Here is a 20,760-nt window from a genome sequence, read left to right as displayed (position 1 = left end):
CCCAATTCTCCATGACAACACCCGACCGCACATTGCACAACCAACACTTCAAAAGTAGAAGAAATTGGGCTATGAAGTTTTGCCTCATCCACCATATTCACCTTACCTCTTGCCAACCAACTACCACTTCAAGCATCTCGACAACCTTTTGCAGGGAAAACACTTCCACAGCCAGCAGGATGCAGAAAATTCTTTCCAAGAGTTTGTTGAATCCCAAAGCACGGATTTTTGTGCTACAGGAATAAACAAATTTGTTTCTTGTTGACAAAAATGTGTTGACTGTAATGGTTCCTATTTTCATTCCAAAAGATGTGTTTGAGCCTAGTCATAATGATTTAAAATTCATGGTTCAAAATCACAATGATTTTTTTTTTTTTGAGATGGAGTCTTGCTCTTTTGCCCAGGCCAGACTGCAGTGGCGCTATCTGGGCTCACTGCAAGCTCCGCCTCCTGGGTTCACGCCATTCTCCTGCCTCAGCCTCCCGAGTAGCTGGGACTACAGGCGCCCGCCACTGCGCCCAGCTAATTTTTTGTATTTTTTAGTAGAGACGGGGTTTCACCGTATTAGCCAGGATGGTCTCGATCTCCTGACCTTGTGATCCGCCCGCCACGGCCTCCCAAAGTTGCTGGGATTACAGGCGTGAGCCACCGCGCCCGGCAAAATCACAATTATTTTTGCACCAGTCTTAGCTGAAATGGATATTTAGGGAAGTACACTAACCATTTTACCTTAAAACTTCTAAGTACATTTTTAATAAAATAAAGAATATACTTTTCTTAACTAAGCTTAAAGTATCTTGAAGAATATTAATCTATCTTTGGAAATCTTTATATACGCATTTAGAAAATAATAAGATGATTAATCAAAAGTGATTTTTTTTTTCCAAGATGGTAGACTGAAGGCTTTGTTAGCAGACCTCACCTGCTTGGAAACAGCAGAGTGGTGTGTAGAGATTCACAGTGTAAATTTTTATCCAAGAAGGAACACAGGAACTCAACAGAAAAACTGAAAGAAGCTTCAGACACTTTGAAAGAAGTGGTGGGCAGCAACCTACACCATGAGCCAGGCAGACCACTGTGAGTCTCCAGAGCATGAAAGGGGGAGACAATGTCTCCTTGATACACATTCCCACTGAGAAGCTGAGCAAGCCAGGCCACAGGGGAGCACCTTAACCCTACCCAGCACTGCAGTTGATTTGGTGAGCAGTGGGAAGTATATGAAAAAGAGCGGTATTGAGAAGTACTTTGCATGTACCCTGAAACCCCAGTGGGGACAGAAGGAAACCATTCCTGATAAGAGGAACCTCACAGCTAACTCAGGCAGTGGTCACAGGATGGGAGAAGCTCCCAACTGAGATCTGCAGTCTAATCTCTCGAGTGAGGACAAACTCCCTTGGCCAGAACTGAGGGGCAAGTGGGAAGTACGCTCTTGCCACAGGAGCAGCAGCCAAGTGCCCCAGCTTCGTGAACAAACAGGGAGAGGTGAGGCCTGAAAGGCATAGTTTCTGTCTCAGGCAGCAGGAAGGCTTATGGCCTGGGGCGGTTTTGCATTCTTAACAAAGACTGCCTGGGATCCAGCTAGCTGCTGCTAGCAGAAGACTGTGGATGTGATACCTACCTTGTCAAAGCTGTGGGAGTTGGGTGGGTCTCACTGACACCTGCTACTCCTTCTCCCAATGTGGATTCTTTTGTGCAGCAGAGTCAGTTGTGCTTCTCCCTGGAACATTACCCTAGTGGCCAGGGAACTGCCCTCCAAGCCCCACTGGGACCACTGCTTGTGCTTACACATGGGGAGCCAGAGTGCAAATCTGTTTGACCCAGCCCAAACCCGGTTTGCCCCTCCACCTGCCCTGGTAGCATAACACAACAGACAGGGACTTTTGGGAGTTCCATGGCCTTGCCCATCGCCTGAGACACAAGTTCTTCCCCTGAGTATCATAAGCCAGGCACAAATCCCATGGCCACCATCACAACTGGCTGTCTCCTACAAACGCCACCTCCTGGCTAGAGGGCAACTGGTGCAGCCCATTACAACATCTGCTGACACAATAACACACCACTTGAGAAGGAGAAAACTTCTGCGTGATCTCAGCTAACATCATTTACCCACACCATCCCAGCTAATCGGGAGGTCTTGAGCCTACTCATGTGCCTAGTACATTACTACTATAGCTGGGATTTGAGAAAGCCATCACACTAAGGCTATTTTTAGCCAGGGAAATCTTTCAGAGTCTATGTCACTCTCCTGCTACCCTTATCATAGCTTGTGCTTACACCTGCTGGGAGACCAGAGGGCAGGACAGCTTGGTCCAGATCCACTCAACATTGTCCCCCTCTGAAGCTCAGAGCAGAGCCTAAGACACTGCACATCCTGCAGACCTGTCCCACAGCCTTTGGCATCAGAGAGCTTCTCCACTTGGCTGATAAGAAGCATCAGTGACCAATTCTCCTCAGAGGGAAGAACCAAAATTACAGGTGAATAATCATAGCCCAAATGGAATGTTAAGCGGAGAGTGCTGGAGCTTATCAGAGAGTTCAGTGGAAGAATCTGTGACACACCAAAAAAGAAAAAAGAAAGTAACAAGAAGCTGGCAGAGATCAAACCCTCAGAGACTTAATAATCTGCGGACAGAGGAGGTGGGAGTGCTCTTGGCCTCTCTGGCCCTTGCAGCAGACTGCTGGTATCCAAGCTCAAAGACGACTTCTTTGCACTCACGAGCACAAGTACCAGAGTGGGCTGCGATTTAGGGACTCCTCAAGGGCATTACCTTGCTCGCACAAGGTCCCTTCACAAGTTCCCCCTGGACCTGAGCTATAGCAGTGGGTGCCATGCTGGATGTGCACCCATTGTGAGACTTTGTTTTGCTCAGGGACCTTCAATCCTTGTGTCTTCACATCACTGGATGCCTTGCACATATTCCCCCAGCACCAGCTTAGAGTGTGGAAGCCCCACAAGGCGGCTAGACCAGATGCGCAGCAGGATTTGCAGTAGTCTGGCCCTGAGGGACTGCCACACCTATGGGAACAGGGAGTGCACCACATCAAGGGAGCACCCTGTGGGACAAAAGAAACCAGACTGCAGGCCTTGAGTCCCAGAAGTTTCCACTTGTGGGAAGTTTCCTTCAGCAGAGACACAGGTGCAAGGCCATGCTCAGTGGTGAAAAACTGCAGTTCTACCCCAGCAGTCAGGCAGCTCCAGTGCTCATGAAGGGACCCAGAGAAGGAAACTTCTCTCCCTTGCCCACCACTTGCAGATACAGCTGGGGCTTCTCTTCCAGGAACTCAGCATGAGTGTGCCTATAGACAGTCTTTCTGGAGCACTTCAGGGTGACTACATCTCCACAGGAGGAGTGCCCTCTGGGTTCAGGCTTGCACAAGAAGTAAAGTCACAACCCCTCTTTACATGGAATGTCAGCATTCCTGCAGATGGACAGAGGTGCTTGTCTGATCTGAATATCCAGAACACTGGGACAAAAGCATGATGGGGAAGCAGATGGCTTTCCTGCTGGCCTGGGAGAGGAGCTGAGGTGGCTCCCTTCTGTCCCCCTGTAAAGACCTCAGTACATTTCACTGAGAGCTCCCCCAGCCAGCTCAGTCAAGGCTGGGCCTTCTGCCCACAAATGGGGTACTGCATATACCCACCTACTTCAGCTGCAGCTGGTTTTTACCTGTGGGTGCCTGTACTAGCATGAAGGCTGAACTATTCAATGGCAGAGGTCTCATGAAGCTTATCTCATTCCCCAGTGGTATGCACTTTGTTATTTTTTTCCCCAGTATATTTTTCACAAAAATAACAAAATATACACCACGGGGAAATGAGATATGCTTCATGAGACCTCTGCCATTCTGGCCCATGGGAGACAGTGAGCCTTCTCACACACCCAGCACACTGCTACTACAACCAGCAGCTAAGAAAGCCACTGCACAAAGATTCTCTACAACCAAAGAGCTCATACACAGTCTTTGCCACTGAAAGCACCCAGAGCCAAAGCTAGGTGACCATACACTACACACATTAAAGTCACATACTCAAGGGGAGAAAAACATTTAAAAACCCAGTAAAATCAGAAATAAATTCAAAAATAATAAGACGAAATTGTCCACCCAGATGAGAAGGAACCAGAAAAATGATTCTGGCAACATGCAAAAACAGAGTTCTACAACACCCCCAAAAAGATCACACTAACTCTCCAGTGATGGATCCAAATCAAAATGAAATCTTTGAAATATCAGATAAAGAATTCAAAATGTTAATTATTAGGTTGCTAAATGATATCCAAGAGAAAGTTAGAAACCAACATAAAGAAATAACTGGACCAAGTAGAAGAAGAATTTCAGAGCTTGAAGACAAGGCTTTCAAATTAACACAATCAGATAAAAATTTTAAAAAAGGAATTAAAAGAAATGAACAAAGTCTCCAGTAAATATGGGTTTAGGTATAAAACATCCAAATCTAAGAATCACAGGTGTTCCTGAGGGAGAAGAAAAAGCAAAAAGCTTGGAAAACCCATTTGAGGAAATATTTGAGGAAAACTTTCCTGGTCTTGCTAGAAATTTAGACATCCAAATACAAGAAGCTCAAAGAACTCCTAGGAGATTCATTATAAAAAAAGACATTACCAAGTCATCAGGCTATCTAAAGTCAACATGAAGGAAAGAATTCTAAGAAGAGTGAGACAAAAGCATTGGATAACTTACAAAGGAAAACCTATCAGACTAATAGCAGACTTCTCAGCAGAAACCTTACAAGCCAAAAGGGATTGAGTCCTATCTTTAGTCTCCTCAAACGGAATAACTGTCAGCCAAGAATTCTGTATCTATCAAAACTAAATTGCATATGTGAAAGAGAAATGAAGTCTCTCCCAGACAAGCAAATGCTGATGGAATTTGTCTCCACCAGACCAGACCTATAAGAAATGCAAAAGGAGTTCTAAATATCTAAATGAAAGGTCATATGCACCAGTATAAAAACACTTGAAGGCAAAAAATTCACAGGACTTATAAAACTGTAACACATTGAAGAAAACCAAGCAACTAGGTAGCAGCATGATGACTGCAACAGTACATCACATGTCAATATTAACATTGAATGTAAATGGTCTAAATGTGCCACTTAAAAGATAATAGATGGACAGAATGGAAAAAAACACAAACCAAATATCTGCTGTCTTCAAGAGACCCAGTTAACTTGTAAAGATTCTTATAGACTTAAGGCAGATGGGTAGGAAGAATATTCCATGTTAATGGAAACCAAAAGTGAGTGGGAATAACTATTCTTAGATAAAACAGACTTTAAATCAACAACAGTAAAAAAGACAAAAAATGTCATTATATAATGATAAAGAAATCAATTCAACAAGAAGATATAACAACCCAAAATTTATGCACACCTAACTCCAGAGCTCCCAGATTCATAAAAACAGAAACTACTAGACCTAAGAAAAAGAGATAGAAAGCAATACAATTATAGTGGAGGACTACAACACGCCATGGACAGCACTGGATAGATCATTGTGGCGGAAAGTCAACAAACACTGGACTTAAACTGGACTCTAGAAAAAGTGGATTTAACAGACATTTACAGAACATTCTACCCAAAAACTGCAGAATATACATTCTTGTTGTCAGCACGTGGAACTTTTTCAAGATAGACTATATATCAGGCCACAAAAGAAGTCTTAATAAATTTTAAAAAATCAAAATCATATCAAGTATCAAATCAGCCCAAAGCAGAATAAAACCAGAAATCAATTCCAAGAGGAATTCTCAAAACCATACAAATATATGGAAATTAAATAGTCTATTCTTCAATGATCTTTGGGTCAAAAATAAAATCAAGATGGAAAAATTTTTTGAAATGAATTAAAATACTGACACAAGTTATCAAAATCTCTGGGATATAGCAAAAGCAGTGCTAAGATCAAAGTTTATTGCACTAAATGCCTACATCAAAAGGACAAAAAGATCACAAATTTACAACCTAACATCACACCTCAAGGAACTGGAGAAACAAGAACAAGCCAAACCCAAAGCTAGCAGAAGAAAAGAAATAAGAAATAACAAAGATTAGAGTAGAACTCAAGAAAATTGAAAATAAATTAAAAAAATACAATGGTCAATGAAACAAAAAGTTGGTTCTTTGAAAAGATAAACTAAATTAATAAACCACTAGCTAGATAAAGCAAGAAAAGAAGATTCCAATAAGCTCTATCAGAAATGAAAATGGAAACATCATACTGATAAACACAGAAATACAAAGGATGACTGAGACTACTATGAACACTTCTATGCACTCAAAGTACAAAATCTAAAGGAAATGGATAAATTCTTGGAAATATACAACCACACAAGCTTCAATCAGGAAAAGAAATAGAAATCCTGAACAGAGCACTAACAATTAGTGAGACGTAATCAGTAATAAAAAAAAAAAAAAACCCAGCCGGGCACGGTGGCTCAAGCCTGTAATCCCAGCACTTTGGGAGGCCGAGGCAGGCGGATCATGAGGTCAGGAGATTGAGACCATCCTGGCTAACATGGTGAAACCCCGTCTCTACTAAAAATACAAAAAATTAGCTGGGTGTGGTGGCGGGCACCTGTGGTCCCAGCTACTCGGGAGGCTGAGGCAGGAGAATGGCGTGAACCTGGGAGGCAGAGCTTGCAGTGAGACGAGACCACGCCACTGCACTCCAGCCTGGGTGAAAGAGCGAGACTCCGTCTCAAAAAAAAAAAAGAAACAAAAACTCAAAATTTCCCAACCAAAAAAAAAAACCCCAGGACCAGATAGATTCATAGCCAAGTTCTATGAGACAGTCAAAGAACTGATGCCAATCCAACTGAAACTGTCCCAAAAGATTGAGAATGAGGGAATCCTCCTTAACTCATTCTACAAAGCCAGTGTCATCCTAATACCAAAGCCACGAAAGGACATAAAAAAAGAAAGCTACAAATCAATATACTCAATGAACATAAATGCAAAAATCTTCAACTAAATATTAGCAAACCTAATCTACCAGCACATCAAAGAGATCATTCACCAAGATCAAGTGGGCTTCATCCCAGGGATGCAAGTATGGTTCAATATACACAAGTCAATAAATGTGATTTGCTATATAAACAGAATTAGAAACAAAAACCATATGATCATCTTAATAGATGCAGAAAAAGCATTCAATAAAACCCAGCATCCCTTTATGATAAAAAAACCTCCAACAAACTAGGCACAGAAGAAACATACCTCAAAATAGTAAGAGCCCTTTATGAGAAACCCACAGCCAACATCAAAATGAATGGAGATAAGTTTAAAGCATTCCCCTAAGAACTGGAAAAAGACAATTATATCCACTTTCAACACGTCTATTCAACATAGTACTAGAAGTCCTAGCCAGAGTAATTAGGCATGAGAAAGAAATAAAGGGGATCCAAACTGAAAAAAGGAAGTCAAACTATCTCTTGTTTATAACTCTGGAATGGAAAACCCAATACTGCACATTCTCGCTTGTAAGTAGGAGCTAAGCTATGGGTACATAAAAGCATACAGAGTGGTATAATGGACACTGGAGACACAGAAACGGGGAGGTTGTGGGGGGTGAGGGAAGAAAAATTACCTATTGGGTATAATGTACACTATTTAAGTGATGAATGCACTAAAAGCCCAGACGTGACCATAGTACAATTCATCCATGTAATCAAAAACCACATATAACCATAAAGTTACTGAAATAATAAAATAAATTAAAATACTAAAAAAAAACCCCACAAAATTACAAGTGAATAAAACACTTCTAAATGTTTAAAGGAGCTCATTTATTGGAATGCTGTAAGTTTTTCTACTGCAATTTTGGATAGGAAATAAAGTGATTTTTAAAGGAAACGAGAATAAAACAGCAAGAGCAATAACAAGGCCCTCACAAACTCAAGACCCAAGCTGCGTACATGATTTTCTGCTGAAGTAAAACCATATTAATTATTAGGTATTAAACAGTAATTAATACTTCATGACAGAAGTTGAGGGAGAAAGAGCTAAAAAGACTACTAAATAATCAAAAGCAGTTTTCTGAGTCAAATATGGAACCCTTCAAATGGTTTTTGAAAGCCTATAAGCTAACCTATAAATACCAAAACACTAGAAAACAGTGGAGGCAATCCTGTAACTAGTCATATAAAAAAGTATTCCTTACCACAGCAATTACCAAAAAATCCTTTCATTAAAGGATTTCCTTAGATTCTTATACTCCAACTCAAAGAGAAACTGTATTCCTCTATATGACCAGCATATCCTAAAACTGCTTTCCTTAGTTTTATACCCTTAGAAATAGAGGAGGATCTTCTCTTTTAGCATAGACCTTAAAATCCAATCCTCTTATTTTATACTGAGCAAACTAGACAGACTATATTGCAGCTAGACTATATGACTTGCCAATCCTGGAGTCTCACAGCTAAGCAGGAGTTTACCCATTTTACTACGTCTTTCTATAATGGGCCTCGGAGCCTTCTCAGGGCTATTTTGGTTTGTGGATAGCTATCTATATTTGTTTTTTTGTAGGGGAATGAAGACTGGTTATCTCCTACTCCACTATCTTGGTGACATCACCGCTACTGTGCCTTCTCTGGTTTAAATTTGTGTGTACTAACTCCCATGTCAGAAAAGAGAAATCTAGTAAATCAGTGAAATTATGAGGGACCTGGCATAGTGCCTAACACACTGTGGTTAGCACTTGAACTGGTGCATACCAGTTTCCTAAGTCAATCTAATGAAAGCAGCAACCTCTCTTCATCTCACTCCTAGTGGGTCTTAACCTTGACACTATCTCCCTGCTTTGAAGGACAATAAAACTGGGGCAGCAAATATATTTTAAAAATAAATAAATGCTGCTTAGTGAGATCACTTGGACAGAATCCTTGCCTAATTCTGAAAATTATTTACTAATAAATCTTTCCCTTATTGAAAATGTGTTTAAAAGAGTGTTTAGTTAAAGTAAATGACAAAACTTTACTTTCAAAACTTCTGCTGACTTTTTATTCCTGAAAAAATGGTACAAATTTACCTATACCTCTACAAAATAAGTTTGCAAAGCATGTCGAGCATTTGGTGCAGCACTTCTTCTGTTTCTTACCAGGTCCCGTTGATCCTCCTGTACCAGATCCATTTTGTGTACCAAGCAAAATATTTTGGCATCTGGAGAATTCTGCAGAATGGCCTCCAGGCATGATTGGTAATAGTGCATGTCCTTTTCCAGTTCGCGGCTCTCCACATCAAAGACATAAATCAGAACCTCCACATTTCGGAAGATGTTGTCCCGTTGGCTAGTGAAATAATTTTCCATGAAGGTGTCTTGCCTGATAGAAAAAATATATATATAGTAAGCAAATCCTCAATTCAATCACTCCTACTTATAGCCTATTTTTGTTGGCTTGATCAATGTGAAAGATAATCTTAAGGCTTCAATTTAAAGGGCAAATCATAACAAATAAGTCTGGCCTTACCTTCTCACCTCTTGAGCCACAACTTGAGCCAACAAAAGAAGTTTGCAGAGCGTGTCAATCATTTGGTGCAGCCCCTTTTCTGTTTCTTACCCGGTCTCATTGATTCTCCTGTACCAGATCCATTTCTCTGCCCCTCTCCTTATGTTCTAAACACACTGACTTTTTCTCAATTCCTCAAGTGGCACATGGTTTATCCACTATGTGGCCTTTACACATGCTGTTCACTCTGTCTCAGATGCTACCCCCCACCTCCTCATCTAGTTAACTCCTGCTTGTCTCTTTAGATTTCAGTTCAATCCATATTTCCTCACAGAAACTACCCATGGCCTCCTGACAGGTCAATCCACTAAGCATAGGCTCTTATATCAATACATTCCTCTTACTTCTAACATTTACCACAAGTTATTACACTTGTTTGTGAGTTTTTCATTAACACCATTCACTTCCCTAGACAGCAAGTTCCATGTCTGTTACTATCCTTCATTGTTTCCCAGCTTCTAATGGAGTGTTAAGTACTCAATGAAAATTTGCTGAATGAATAACTCAATAGTCAAATATTCTAAACTACATTAAAATGACTCCAATGGTAACTTTTTAACAGAATGTTGCTCTTTGCTCGTTAGGCTAAGTGCTGCTTTCCAGGAAGTTCTCAATTACCACTTGGCCAGCAGAAAACAGTAGCATCCGGTAGTAGGAGAAAAAAATCAGGAACCTAGGTTCTAGTCCTGCACTTTGCTATTAATTAGCTGTGTGAACTCAGCAGAATGATAATCTCCCTGGACCTCAGTTGCCTTATCTCTAAAAATGAAGATCATCACATCTTAGTGCCTAAAAGCAAGGGACTTGGGACTAATGTCTTAACACAGATTAGAAAATTAGAACCAATGATAATGAGGAAGGATTTGTATGGAGATATGTGCTAGGATGTTAAGTGATCCATCTGCTAGCAGGAATGGAGTCATTTTCTTAAAGAGTATTTAGCTATTGCATTATTCTTTCAACAAATATTCACTGAGCACCCACTCTATGGCTGGCTCTATGCTAAGAGCGAGATACACTGAGCTAACAATATCTATGTATTTTGTGAGGCACTCTGCTATGCAACTTTGTATAAATTATCTTACTTAATCATCAAAACAACCCTATGAGCTGGTACCATTGCCTTCACTACTGTACAGATGAAGAAACTGTGGCTCAGAGAGTTTAAATGATTTACCCAAGATAACACAGCTAACAGAGCTGAGGTACAAACCCCAATCTGACTCCAAAACCTATGCTCCTATCCACTGTGCAGTGCACACTGTTCCTTCAGCACAGAGATGCACCATAGCCAGCATACATCCACAGTGTGTGTACATTTGTGATGGAATATGTGGTGAATATTTTGCTCATAAGAGGAAGAGCTAACTCCTACTCTTCCAAAAAGTAGGTAACTTAGCTAGAGAATGTGTGCTCAGTGTCTGATCTACAGTATTGAGACTGCCTGGAGAAAATTATTGACGTATTATAACTAAGAACAAAGTAGTATGGTGTGACAGCTAAGAGCTCAGCACTGGTGTCAGGCTGCCTGAGACAGAAACCTAATTTATTCCTCCACGAAAGGGGATAATCTATCCCAAACTACAGATACCTAGATGGAGCTTGGATTAGCGCTATTTAAACATGTCACATACAGAGGGCATTTTCACAATTCCATAAAAGTCAGAGATGTTTATTGACTCAAGTGTCAATTTTAAAGTAATTCTATCCAATCTATTACAAATGATAGTTACTCTAGGTGTATTCGCCATGCTGATATACTAGATGCCACGATTACTGACATCGGCTTCACAAACAAGTAAGCAGATGGTACTTACCCACCACAATCCCACAGGTTCAATACCAGGTTTCCCAGAAATCGAACATGAGAATGTTCTACATCAACTGGAAGACAAATATGACAAATCTAGTAATTATAACAGGTGAAGTGAAATTCAAAATAAGCAAAGCACTAACCCATGAAATTTAGAAGGACCAAAGTGGAGTGAAATGCTCAAAGCCACAACAAGAAGGTGATTTTCAGCTGAGTAGTGTGGTTTAGTGGCAAGGTAGGCACCTAAACTACCCTGGGCTATAGAACTGGCTCTCATGTTAAGTCATTTCACTTTTTAGTAGTTTAATACTTAGAGCAGAAACAATCTCCAACTATAATACTGTTAAAATTTCAACATGTAATAGATATATACCATATAATCAGTCTTCCCTGTCCCACTTGCCCCCACCAACCTCACATACACACAAAAATTAAAAAAAAAAGTAACAAAAAACAAACATAAAACAATAACCAAATGAACTCCTGCTATTGATTTCCTTTCCAGTTAATGACCCTAACTTTTTCCCACTTTTGACTCCTCTATCCACATTCAATACATTGCTAATCCTTTGTAATCTCTCTCAAATCCATTCCTTATTTTATAACCTACCACAAACATTAAGGAAGCCCCTTATCATCTCATGTCTACACTACTACAATAGCTCCATAACTCACCTCCCCACCAAAAAGCCTTACTCAATTTTACTTCATCCGACAGGCTACTGCCAGGCTCATCTTCTTAACACTACTTTGAACATGTCACTCCCCATTCAAAACACTTTCAATGGCTCCTCCATGCCTATGGGGAGGCATTCAAGGTCCTTCACAATTTGGCTTCCAATCTACCTATACATTCCCCAATGATCCACATTAATAAAGCCTTTCACTCCAGCCCAATTTGGTTTATTCACAGTCCTCCCAAACCCCACTGCCTCCCCAACCCCCAAAATACTTTACACCAGGGGTCGCAAACTTGCTAACAGGGGCCAGGCCAGTAACCGTACATGAGCAAAGTTGGCCACATATGGAGTGTAAACATCTACCCAATGAGATAGTAGAGTGAGCAGCAGTTACTCAGCTCTGGTTCATTTGCCATGCAGGAATGGGGACTCTGGGTTACCAGATCTTTAAGTTTTTCAGCAGTAGTGGGAAATCCATATTTTTATGAAAACTTTTACATGCTGATAACTAATTCCCATTTTTAGAAAACATCACATGGGCCAAACAAAACACATCTACAGGCCTTATCCAGGATATAGGCTGCCTGTTTGCGACCTCTGAGTTACACTTCCCTCCCCTCTATTCTTCACCTACTCTGTTCATCTGCCTGGAAATCCCTCCCCATCTTTCTTTCAAAATATATTCATCTTTTAAGAGCCAGCCTAAATCCCACCTCCTCTAAAAGCCCTGCCTAGCTACCCCTACTTACCATCATCTCTCCCTCTGAATTCATTCAAACACTCATTAAGCATCTACTCTCTGCCAGGCACTAAAAACCCCAAGGAGTAATAATGAAAGATTTTATCCTGAAAATTTATCAAAGTCTAGGAATTATCATCTATACAATTTGTGATAATCAATCACACAGTGATATCTCTCCTATGACTATCTCAAAGCTGTTGCTTAAATTGACTGCTATCTAACTTTTGTGCAATTTTATCTTCTTATAAACTACATCACAAGCAGCAGAGCATTATTTTAAAAAGCACAGGCTTTGGAATCGAACAAATCTTCATTCAAATATCAGCTCTACCTCTCTATGTGACCTTGGGCAAGTCACTTAAGCTCTGGGTATTAGTTTCCGCTTCTATTAAAAAAGAAAGCGGGGGGGCGGGGCATAGCACTGACCTCACAGGATTACTATGAGGATTCAATGAATTATCATACATAAAGTGCCTGGCACATAGTAGGTGCTCAAACTACTTCCCTTCTCCCCTTTACTTCCCCCTCCTTGGAAAAGGAATCATATCTTACATGTCTTTGTATTTCCAACAGAGTCTACGAGAGAGTAGGTGCTCAAACTGCTATTAATTTGAAGACTATGTATACGGTCTAGTACTAAAAAAAAATGGAAAGAAGTGCTACTGAGAAAGGGAAAGACAATAACAAAAGAAGTGACAGGAGTCAGTGACTGTTTAGACATGGGGCACATGGGATAGAAATCAGGTTTCTACTCCCATATCATAGAAATTATTCTCATCAAGTGACCAATGGCCCCATAACCAAATCCAGTGGACTTTTTAGTCCTTGTCTTACTTTCTGCAGCATGACACTGTTGACTACTCTCTTCTCAAAAAATTCTCTTCTCTTGGTCTCTGATATCATACCTACAACTTCTCTGGCAGATCCTCCCTTACAATTCCTATTCTTCTTTCTGTCCCTTAAATGTTGGAGCTCTTCAGGACTCCATCCTTGGCCACCTTCCCCAAGGCAAGCTAGTCTATTCTTATTATTTTATTTGCCATTTGGACACTGACGACTCAGAAACAGGTATCTCTAGAACAGATTTCTCTACCTTTCTGACATATATTACAAATCTCCATTTGAATGAACCACAAGTATCCAAAACTCAACGTATCCAAGTATATGTAACTCATCATCTCCCCCTTTCTTCCTACAAAATCTATTCCTCTTTCAGTCTTATCTTAGTGAATTCAACCAGTTGCCTAAGCCAAAACCTCAGTTTCATCCTTCAGTCCACTTTTTTCCTCATCATTCTCCCCAAATCTACCAGAAAGTCCGGCTGACTCTATCTCTTAAATAGATCTCAAATCCATTTGCTTCTCACCATATCCACTATCATCACCCTAGCCCAAATCAAGCCCCCATCATCTCTCACCTGGTCTATTAAAATAGTTTCCTAACTTACCAACCTGTTTCTAGCCTTCCCTCCCTCCAATCTATCCTCCATATTACAGACAGAGTGATCTCTCTCCAAAATGCAGATTTTTATTCTTCTTTAAACAGAAAAAAACCATGTCTCTCCGCATATGCACGATTGTATACACCCAGAAAAGAAAGGGCCAGAAGGATAACCTCAAAACTACTAATTGTGGTTGTCCCTAGGAAGCAGGCCTGAGAGTGAGGGAGAAAAGAGGCTTTTTACACGTCTGTAATGTTTGAATTTTTCACAAGTACTACTTTTGTAATTAAAACTGAAAATTAAAAACAATAAAATATAAATCAGCTCATGTTGCTTTTCTTTTTTTTTTTAACATTTTCCTTAATCCCTGGGACCTGTAAAATATCGCTCTTCTGTTTAAAACTCTCTTTACCCTCAGTTCCTACTATCTAACTTGGCTTACAAGACATTTTATGATCTAACCACCCACTTCCTGCTTCCCTCTTTAGTCTCATGTCTTCCATATATGGATCTCTAGCTCTCCTAGTCTTCCTACCCTATTATCACAAGAACAACTAAAAAGAACCAAGAACAGAGCTTTGGGGAATGACACACACTTACGGGGCAGAAAGAAGAAAATACTATGATAAAGATTTTTTTTTAAAGAGGGATGGGATAATTAAAGATAATGGAAGAAAACCAGGGTAATAGAGCATTAAATAAAAGCCAAGGGAACAGAGAATTTTGAGAAGGTAGGAAATCTTGGAGCCGTCAACAGTGTTTGAGACTAAAATACTTCATAATCATTTTTATTGACAAGTTTACTGTTCCAACAAATACATTTTAGCAGCCCCCTAATAAGTTAATAATATCACCATCATGTATTCTTACTTCAAATTTCAAAACACAGCAGGCTCTAAGTTTAACAAAATAAAACTGGACTATTTTCAGCAATGAGAAACTAGAAAAACACTAAAACATTAAAATCAATGCAATATTTTAAAAGTACTCTTACTACTTTTAAAGAAAATCAGCAACTACATAAAGAGGACTATCAAATAAAAAGCAGAGCACTATATATGCATTTTGAACTTGTCTATAAGTTTAGCAATAGAACGCAGGTATTTCTTTAGCAATGACAAACTAGCTAATGATGATATCCTAAAGCCTTAAGACCAACATAATATTTTAAAGTATACTTTCACTACCTGTAAGGAGATACAGTGATTACTAACAAAGTATTAGTAATAAAGGTCCTGCTTGAGATATTCTTAAGGGCAAGAGCTCTGTCCCGTTCTCTGTGCCTGCTACATAAAAAGTTTCAGAAAAGTACTTGCTGAATAAATGGTTTGCCTTAATGTATGGGGTTCATATAATTTGCAAAATTCTGTTCACAATAAGGCTGCTAGGTTATGTCAAAACTATTTCAAGCAGTTTGAATAACTCTGAAATGCTGGTTGCAAGACTGTTCTCTGGATTCAGGGTAATAAGTCAACTCTGATCAGCTATATAAAAACAGCAACAGCAATTGGACTAGAAAAAGATGCTTCAACAAAAGTGTTCAGAATTTAAAACAGAAATAAAAATAAGTCTGCCAGGAATCGTTAGCAGAGGGTAAGCTAGATAGAATGTGGCATAAGGAATAAAGCAAGAGCATAGATTGACATTCCAGCTCTGATACTTCCTAGCTGAGTAATATTAATTTCTAAGTTGTACCTCCTTCTTTATTCTCTATAAAAATGAAGTTAACATGAGAACTAAAGTAAATAAAACAGTAAACAAAAGTCTGACAAATAACAGTTGTTCAATAACCATTAGCTTCCTCTAATCTACTGAAATCATAAGGGTAATTAGGCCCAGATATTTAACTTGAAAGAAAAAAAAAGTTTTAATCTATCAAATCAAGCAGAGAGAAGTTTGGACAGGTAGACATTCCAGAGGCCAGAGCTACAGATGTCAATTATAGAGGCATGACAGGCCATAGGACACTATCCTGACCAAAACTTTTGGTCAATGACTTAGATGAAAACTAGATGAGATATTCATCAAATGTACAAACTCCATGGAGTTAGGAAAGATAGCTAATGTATCAGATATTAGAGTTAGGAAAGATAACTAATATATCAGATAAGAGAATAAGTAGCTAAAATGAAAATAGGATCCAATCCCTTTTTTTATGGATGAGGAAAAAGGGATTGGACTTGTTCTGGATTTCACAGTTAACAAACAAAGGGTACAGGAACATATCATGGGCTAAAACAAACAAAACTAAATGATTTAATAGAAGTAAGCATTTATTCTTTGGTTCAAAATATTAACTGCACAAGAGCCAGAAGGGTATGTGTTTTAATAACAACATATCTGAAAGGGAATTTGAACTATTTGAAAGAGTTTTTTAGTAAGTCTCCTCATAACGAAAGTTACTCCAAAAAAGGAGGATACATGTTAGACTGTGCTAACAGCAATGTAATGTCCTGAATAAGAGATGTGATAGGCCCACTCTGCCCTGATCAGACTCCACCTGCATCTAACTCTCAATACCATAAGAAAAATGTAAACAAGTTTGAACAAGTCCCCAAAAATGTTTCAAAATATGTCAAATGAGAAATAGATGGAAGAGCTGGACATTTTTAACTTAAGGAAGACATGATTTGTGAGGCAAGATGGCCGGGCATGGTGGCTCATACCTGCAGTCCCAGTACTTTGGGAGGCCGAGGCAGGCGGATCACCTGAGGTCAGGAGTTCGAGGCCAGTTTGGCCAACATGGTGAAACTCCATCTCTACTAAAAATAAAAAAAATTAGCTGGATGTGGTGGTACACACCTGTAGTCCCAGCTACTTGGGAGGCTGAGCCAGGAGAATCCCTTGAACCAGGAGGTGGAGGCTGCAGTGAGCTGAGATCATGCCACTGCACTCCAGCCTGGATGACAGAGCAAGACTCCGTCTCCAAAAAGAAAAAAAAAAGATTTGTGAGGCAAGAGATCGCTAGGACAAACTGAGACACTGACTATCCTCAAATATTTGTAGAGGCTTAAGAGAACAGAAAGAGAACAAGCTAACAGAAAAAAAAAAAAAGAAATAGGCCAGGCACGGTGGCTCACACCTGTAATCCCAGCACTTTGAGAAGCCGAGGCGGGCAGATCACTTGAGGTCAGGAGTTAGAGATCAGCCTGGCCAACATGGTGAAACCTCATCTCTGGTAAAAATACAAAAATTAGCTGGGCGTCGTTGTGGGTGCCTGTAATTCCAGCTACTCGTGAGGCTGAGGCACAAGAATCACTTGAACCCAGGAGATAAGACTGCACCACTGCACTCCAAAATGGGCAACAGAGCGCAAGACTCCATCTCAAAAAATACATATATATACATTCAAGAAACAGCTTTCTAGACAACAAAGCTGCCCCAATTATGAGAGTCTACACTTACACTCCAAGCACGATAATAACAGAAATGAGGTTTCCTTCTCCTTTATTTCCTAGGGTCTGAAACATACTGTGTTTTTAAAATGTTGTTCTTGAAACTTCAGGAAATGTGTAGAGTAGTGGGTGGCCTTTCCCTAAAAATCAAGGACCAAGCAGAATCCAGAAATGCTTGAATGCTGCAGAATGAAATGGCAGTACAACCCAGAGACAGAAGGGCTCTCCCAGGATCCTACATTCACTGTCCATGGCAGCCCAATTAGTATATACTAACACTCAAACTATAAAAGGCAACAACATATTCCCTAAGTCAGAACCAAAACTCTAATGAGATCATCTATGTGTATCCAGGAAAAGAAGTAGCAGAGTACAGATCAAGTTAACTTCTTTCCTTCCCACCACCGTAATTTACCTTTCAACGAAGACAAGGTGTAACTACTGCTTTAAAAAATCTTAGCATATTTTACTGTTATGCTTGTTAATACCTATGGATTTCCCTTTGTATAAGAGTTAAAAACACTCTCCCCACAAGACGAACAAACAATGCTTGTTTAAGAAATAGCAGAATAAACAAAAAGTTGGACAAGGGCAATCCACTTCATAAACAACCTAGAAAGAAAAGAACCTCCCCCAAGACAGCAAGCAGTAGTAACTGGTATTAGGCCACACCTCTTTGAAAACGAATGCAAAAAGGGTAAACATGCTCCATAACAAATTCCCCAACCTCTCTGCATCCCCAAGGTACTGAAACCAAGTGTGTTATGCAGATTATTAATAGTTAAGATCACCTGACTTTACAATAAGATAAAACATCTTACTTGTTGCGCCAAGGCGACGTGTGTCTCTGGCAATATAATTTGCAAAGATAATAGACCTCATGCTGGTCTTACCAGACCCACTTTTACCCATCAACAGCACCTAAGGACAAAGTAGGGAAAAGGAAAGGAAAAAAGTTAGCAATCTAGAGCAAATCAAGTCTAAAGGGATCTATTTCTCTCCTGGATTTGATATTTTCCTGAACTGACAGTACCAACAACCTGGTGCGCATACTCACAACTAACTAAACTCTTCCCAACGAAGGGTGAATGCAGAGATACTTAGAATTCCAGGAGCCAGGTACTTACCTGTCACAGGACATACATCCTTTAGGTGACAGAATTACACTGAATTTATGCTATTAAGATGCACCATTAATATGTTCAGAAACAGGTTAGAAAAATACCAAGTTTAGAGGAAACTAAACCCTGTTCTATCATAACCCAATGTTTTGTTAACTGAATTACCTAGTAGAGGATTGCAACATAACTGAAAGTTCTTCCTCCTTCTGATCAAGGTCAATCTTTCCACCTCTGCCTTTGATCTCATCCCTTCTACTTACCTCTATGCTCTTATTCCATTTATTACTGTCCCTCCTTTTTCTTTTCAAAAGCTTCCCATGGCCTGCAGGATGAAGTCCTTAGACTACATATAAGACCCTCCTTGATCTAGTCTATTTACTTCTCATCCCTCATCTCCTGTCCCTCCTGGCCTGAAACTTTTAGCTTACAGCCACACTTAATTGAACTGCTGGTAGTCCCTCTGATTGTTCCCAGCCGTCTGGGAGGTCCTGCATCTGTGCCATTGTTTCACGCAGTACTCTCTGCCAGTAAACTATCCATTCTCTTTTCTTCCTTCAGCTAAATTGCAGTTATCCTTCAAGACTTGGTTCAGTAATCATTTTTGCAAGAAGATATTCTGAGTCTAATGCTCTAGGCTGACTTAAGTGTCTTACCTCTGTCCTCCCATGGCACTGTTATTTCATTGCAAAGACTATAATGCATTGCAGTTACTTATTTTGGGGGGTCTGTCCTTCTCTCTCAGAAGACTCTGTGCTCTGGAAGGGGAGAGAAAGTCCCCTCATACCTCCAGTGCCTAACATACAACAGATGCTCAAAGTATGTACATCAAAAGAACAAGCAAGTTATCAAAACAAATATAGAAAGCAAGAGAGTATCTGACAGTGAGAACTGTCCAAGGGAAAAGGTAGCCTCATGAAGGTAAGCAGCCTTCCTGTCAATGTCAGCATGTCACACAGAGAGCACTCGTCAATGATGTTCTATACTCTCGTACTAAAAGGGAATTTAGTAAAGTGACTTTTGAGAGTCCTTTCAAATCTAGAATTTATGAAATATAGTTCCAATTACCTTGCTTTCCTTTTCGTTCTTTCTTTTTTATTTTATTTTTTTTGAGACCAAGTCTCACTCTATCATCCAGGCTGGAGGGCTGTGGCATGATCTCAGCTCACTGCAACCTCCGCCTCCCGGGTTCAAGTGATTCTCATGCCTCAGCCACCCCACCTGAGCCCCCCACCTCAGCCATCCCATGCCTGGGATTACAGGCATGCACCATCATGTCCGGCTATTTTTTTTTTTTTTTTGGTATATTTAGTACAGACAGGGTTTTGCCATGTTGGCCAGGCTGATCTTGAACTCCTGGCCTCAAGTGATGCACCTGCCTCAGCCTCCCACAGTGCTGGGATTACAGGCATGAGCCACCGTGCCCAGCCTTAACTTGCTTTTCAAATGAAGGGAACCTATGTTCTACCTTCAATCCCAAGATATTTTATACAAATTTCTAATTACTAATATAAGAAGTATTGATGAAAATATACTACACTCAGACTTGATTTAATCTAAAAATGTAGCTATATAACTTTATCTCACTAAGGAAATGCCACTGCTGAGCCAGTCTAAAGTTGCTACAAAAAGTTTGCTTTTGTACTTTAAAATTTTAATTGAAAAACAATAACTCTTTATATTTAGGAGGTACAATGCAATGTTTGATATATGTATACAATGCAGAATGATTAAATCAAGCTAATTTTTGTTCTTAATCATGTAGAAATTTCTGTACTTTTAGGCATTCTCAATGAAAGCAACTTCAGACAGGCTCATCAAGAACATTCTCTTAGCAAACTGTAGTTACAGAACTGAATTATTAGATGAAGCTAAGGCTAAATATGGTACATTTCCTTCGGTTATTAATTTATACAGTGTACCTCTTTCAATTGCCTATGAAAGACTTACCAAGGCTAATCATGTTAGGTACTGATCTAAGTGTTCTACAGGCATTTACTAATTTAAACGTCACAACAATCTTACGATACAGTTAATATTATTACTACC

At 39.8% G+C, this 20,760-nt stretch overlaps 1 protein-coding gene across 16 annotated transcripts in view; it reads right to left on the bottom strand.

The window, feature by feature from the left end:
- Window positions 1–20,760, bottom strand: part of RRAGB (Ras related GTP binding B) — a 41,026-nt gene that overhangs the window by 18,075 nt on the left and 2,191 nt on the right. For 10 of the 16 annotated variants that reach the window (NR_148685.2, NR_148691.2, NR_148692.2 and 7 more), the window contains exons 3-6: window positions 18,415–18,514; window positions 13,310–13,393; window positions 11,340–11,406; window positions 9,114–9,336 (exon numbers count right to left, since the gene is read on the bottom strand). Coding sequence is in view for 6 of the 16 variants with exons in the window: in NM_016656.4 (NP_057740.2) it covers window positions 9,114–9,336; window positions 11,340–11,406; window positions 13,310–13,393; window positions 18,415–18,514 (474 nt within the window). In the remaining 10 variants the exon portion in view is untranslated. The remainder of the gene's footprint in view (window positions 1–9,113; window positions 9,337–11,339; window positions 11,407–13,309; window positions 13,394–18,414; window positions 18,515–20,760) is intronic. The other 6 variants (NR_148688.2, NR_148683.2, NR_148690.2 and 3 more) reach the window with 1 other exon arrangement.

Source organism: Homo sapiens, chromosome X, assembly GCF_000001405.40.
Source record: "Homo sapiens chromosome X, GRCh38.p14 Primary Assembly".
NCBI classification, from domain to species: Eukaryota; Metazoa; Chordata; class Mammalia; order Primates; family Hominidae; genus Homo; species Homo sapiens.
Note: the sequence above shows the minus strand (reverse complement) of the source record. Positions and strands in the feature narration are given on the sequence as shown.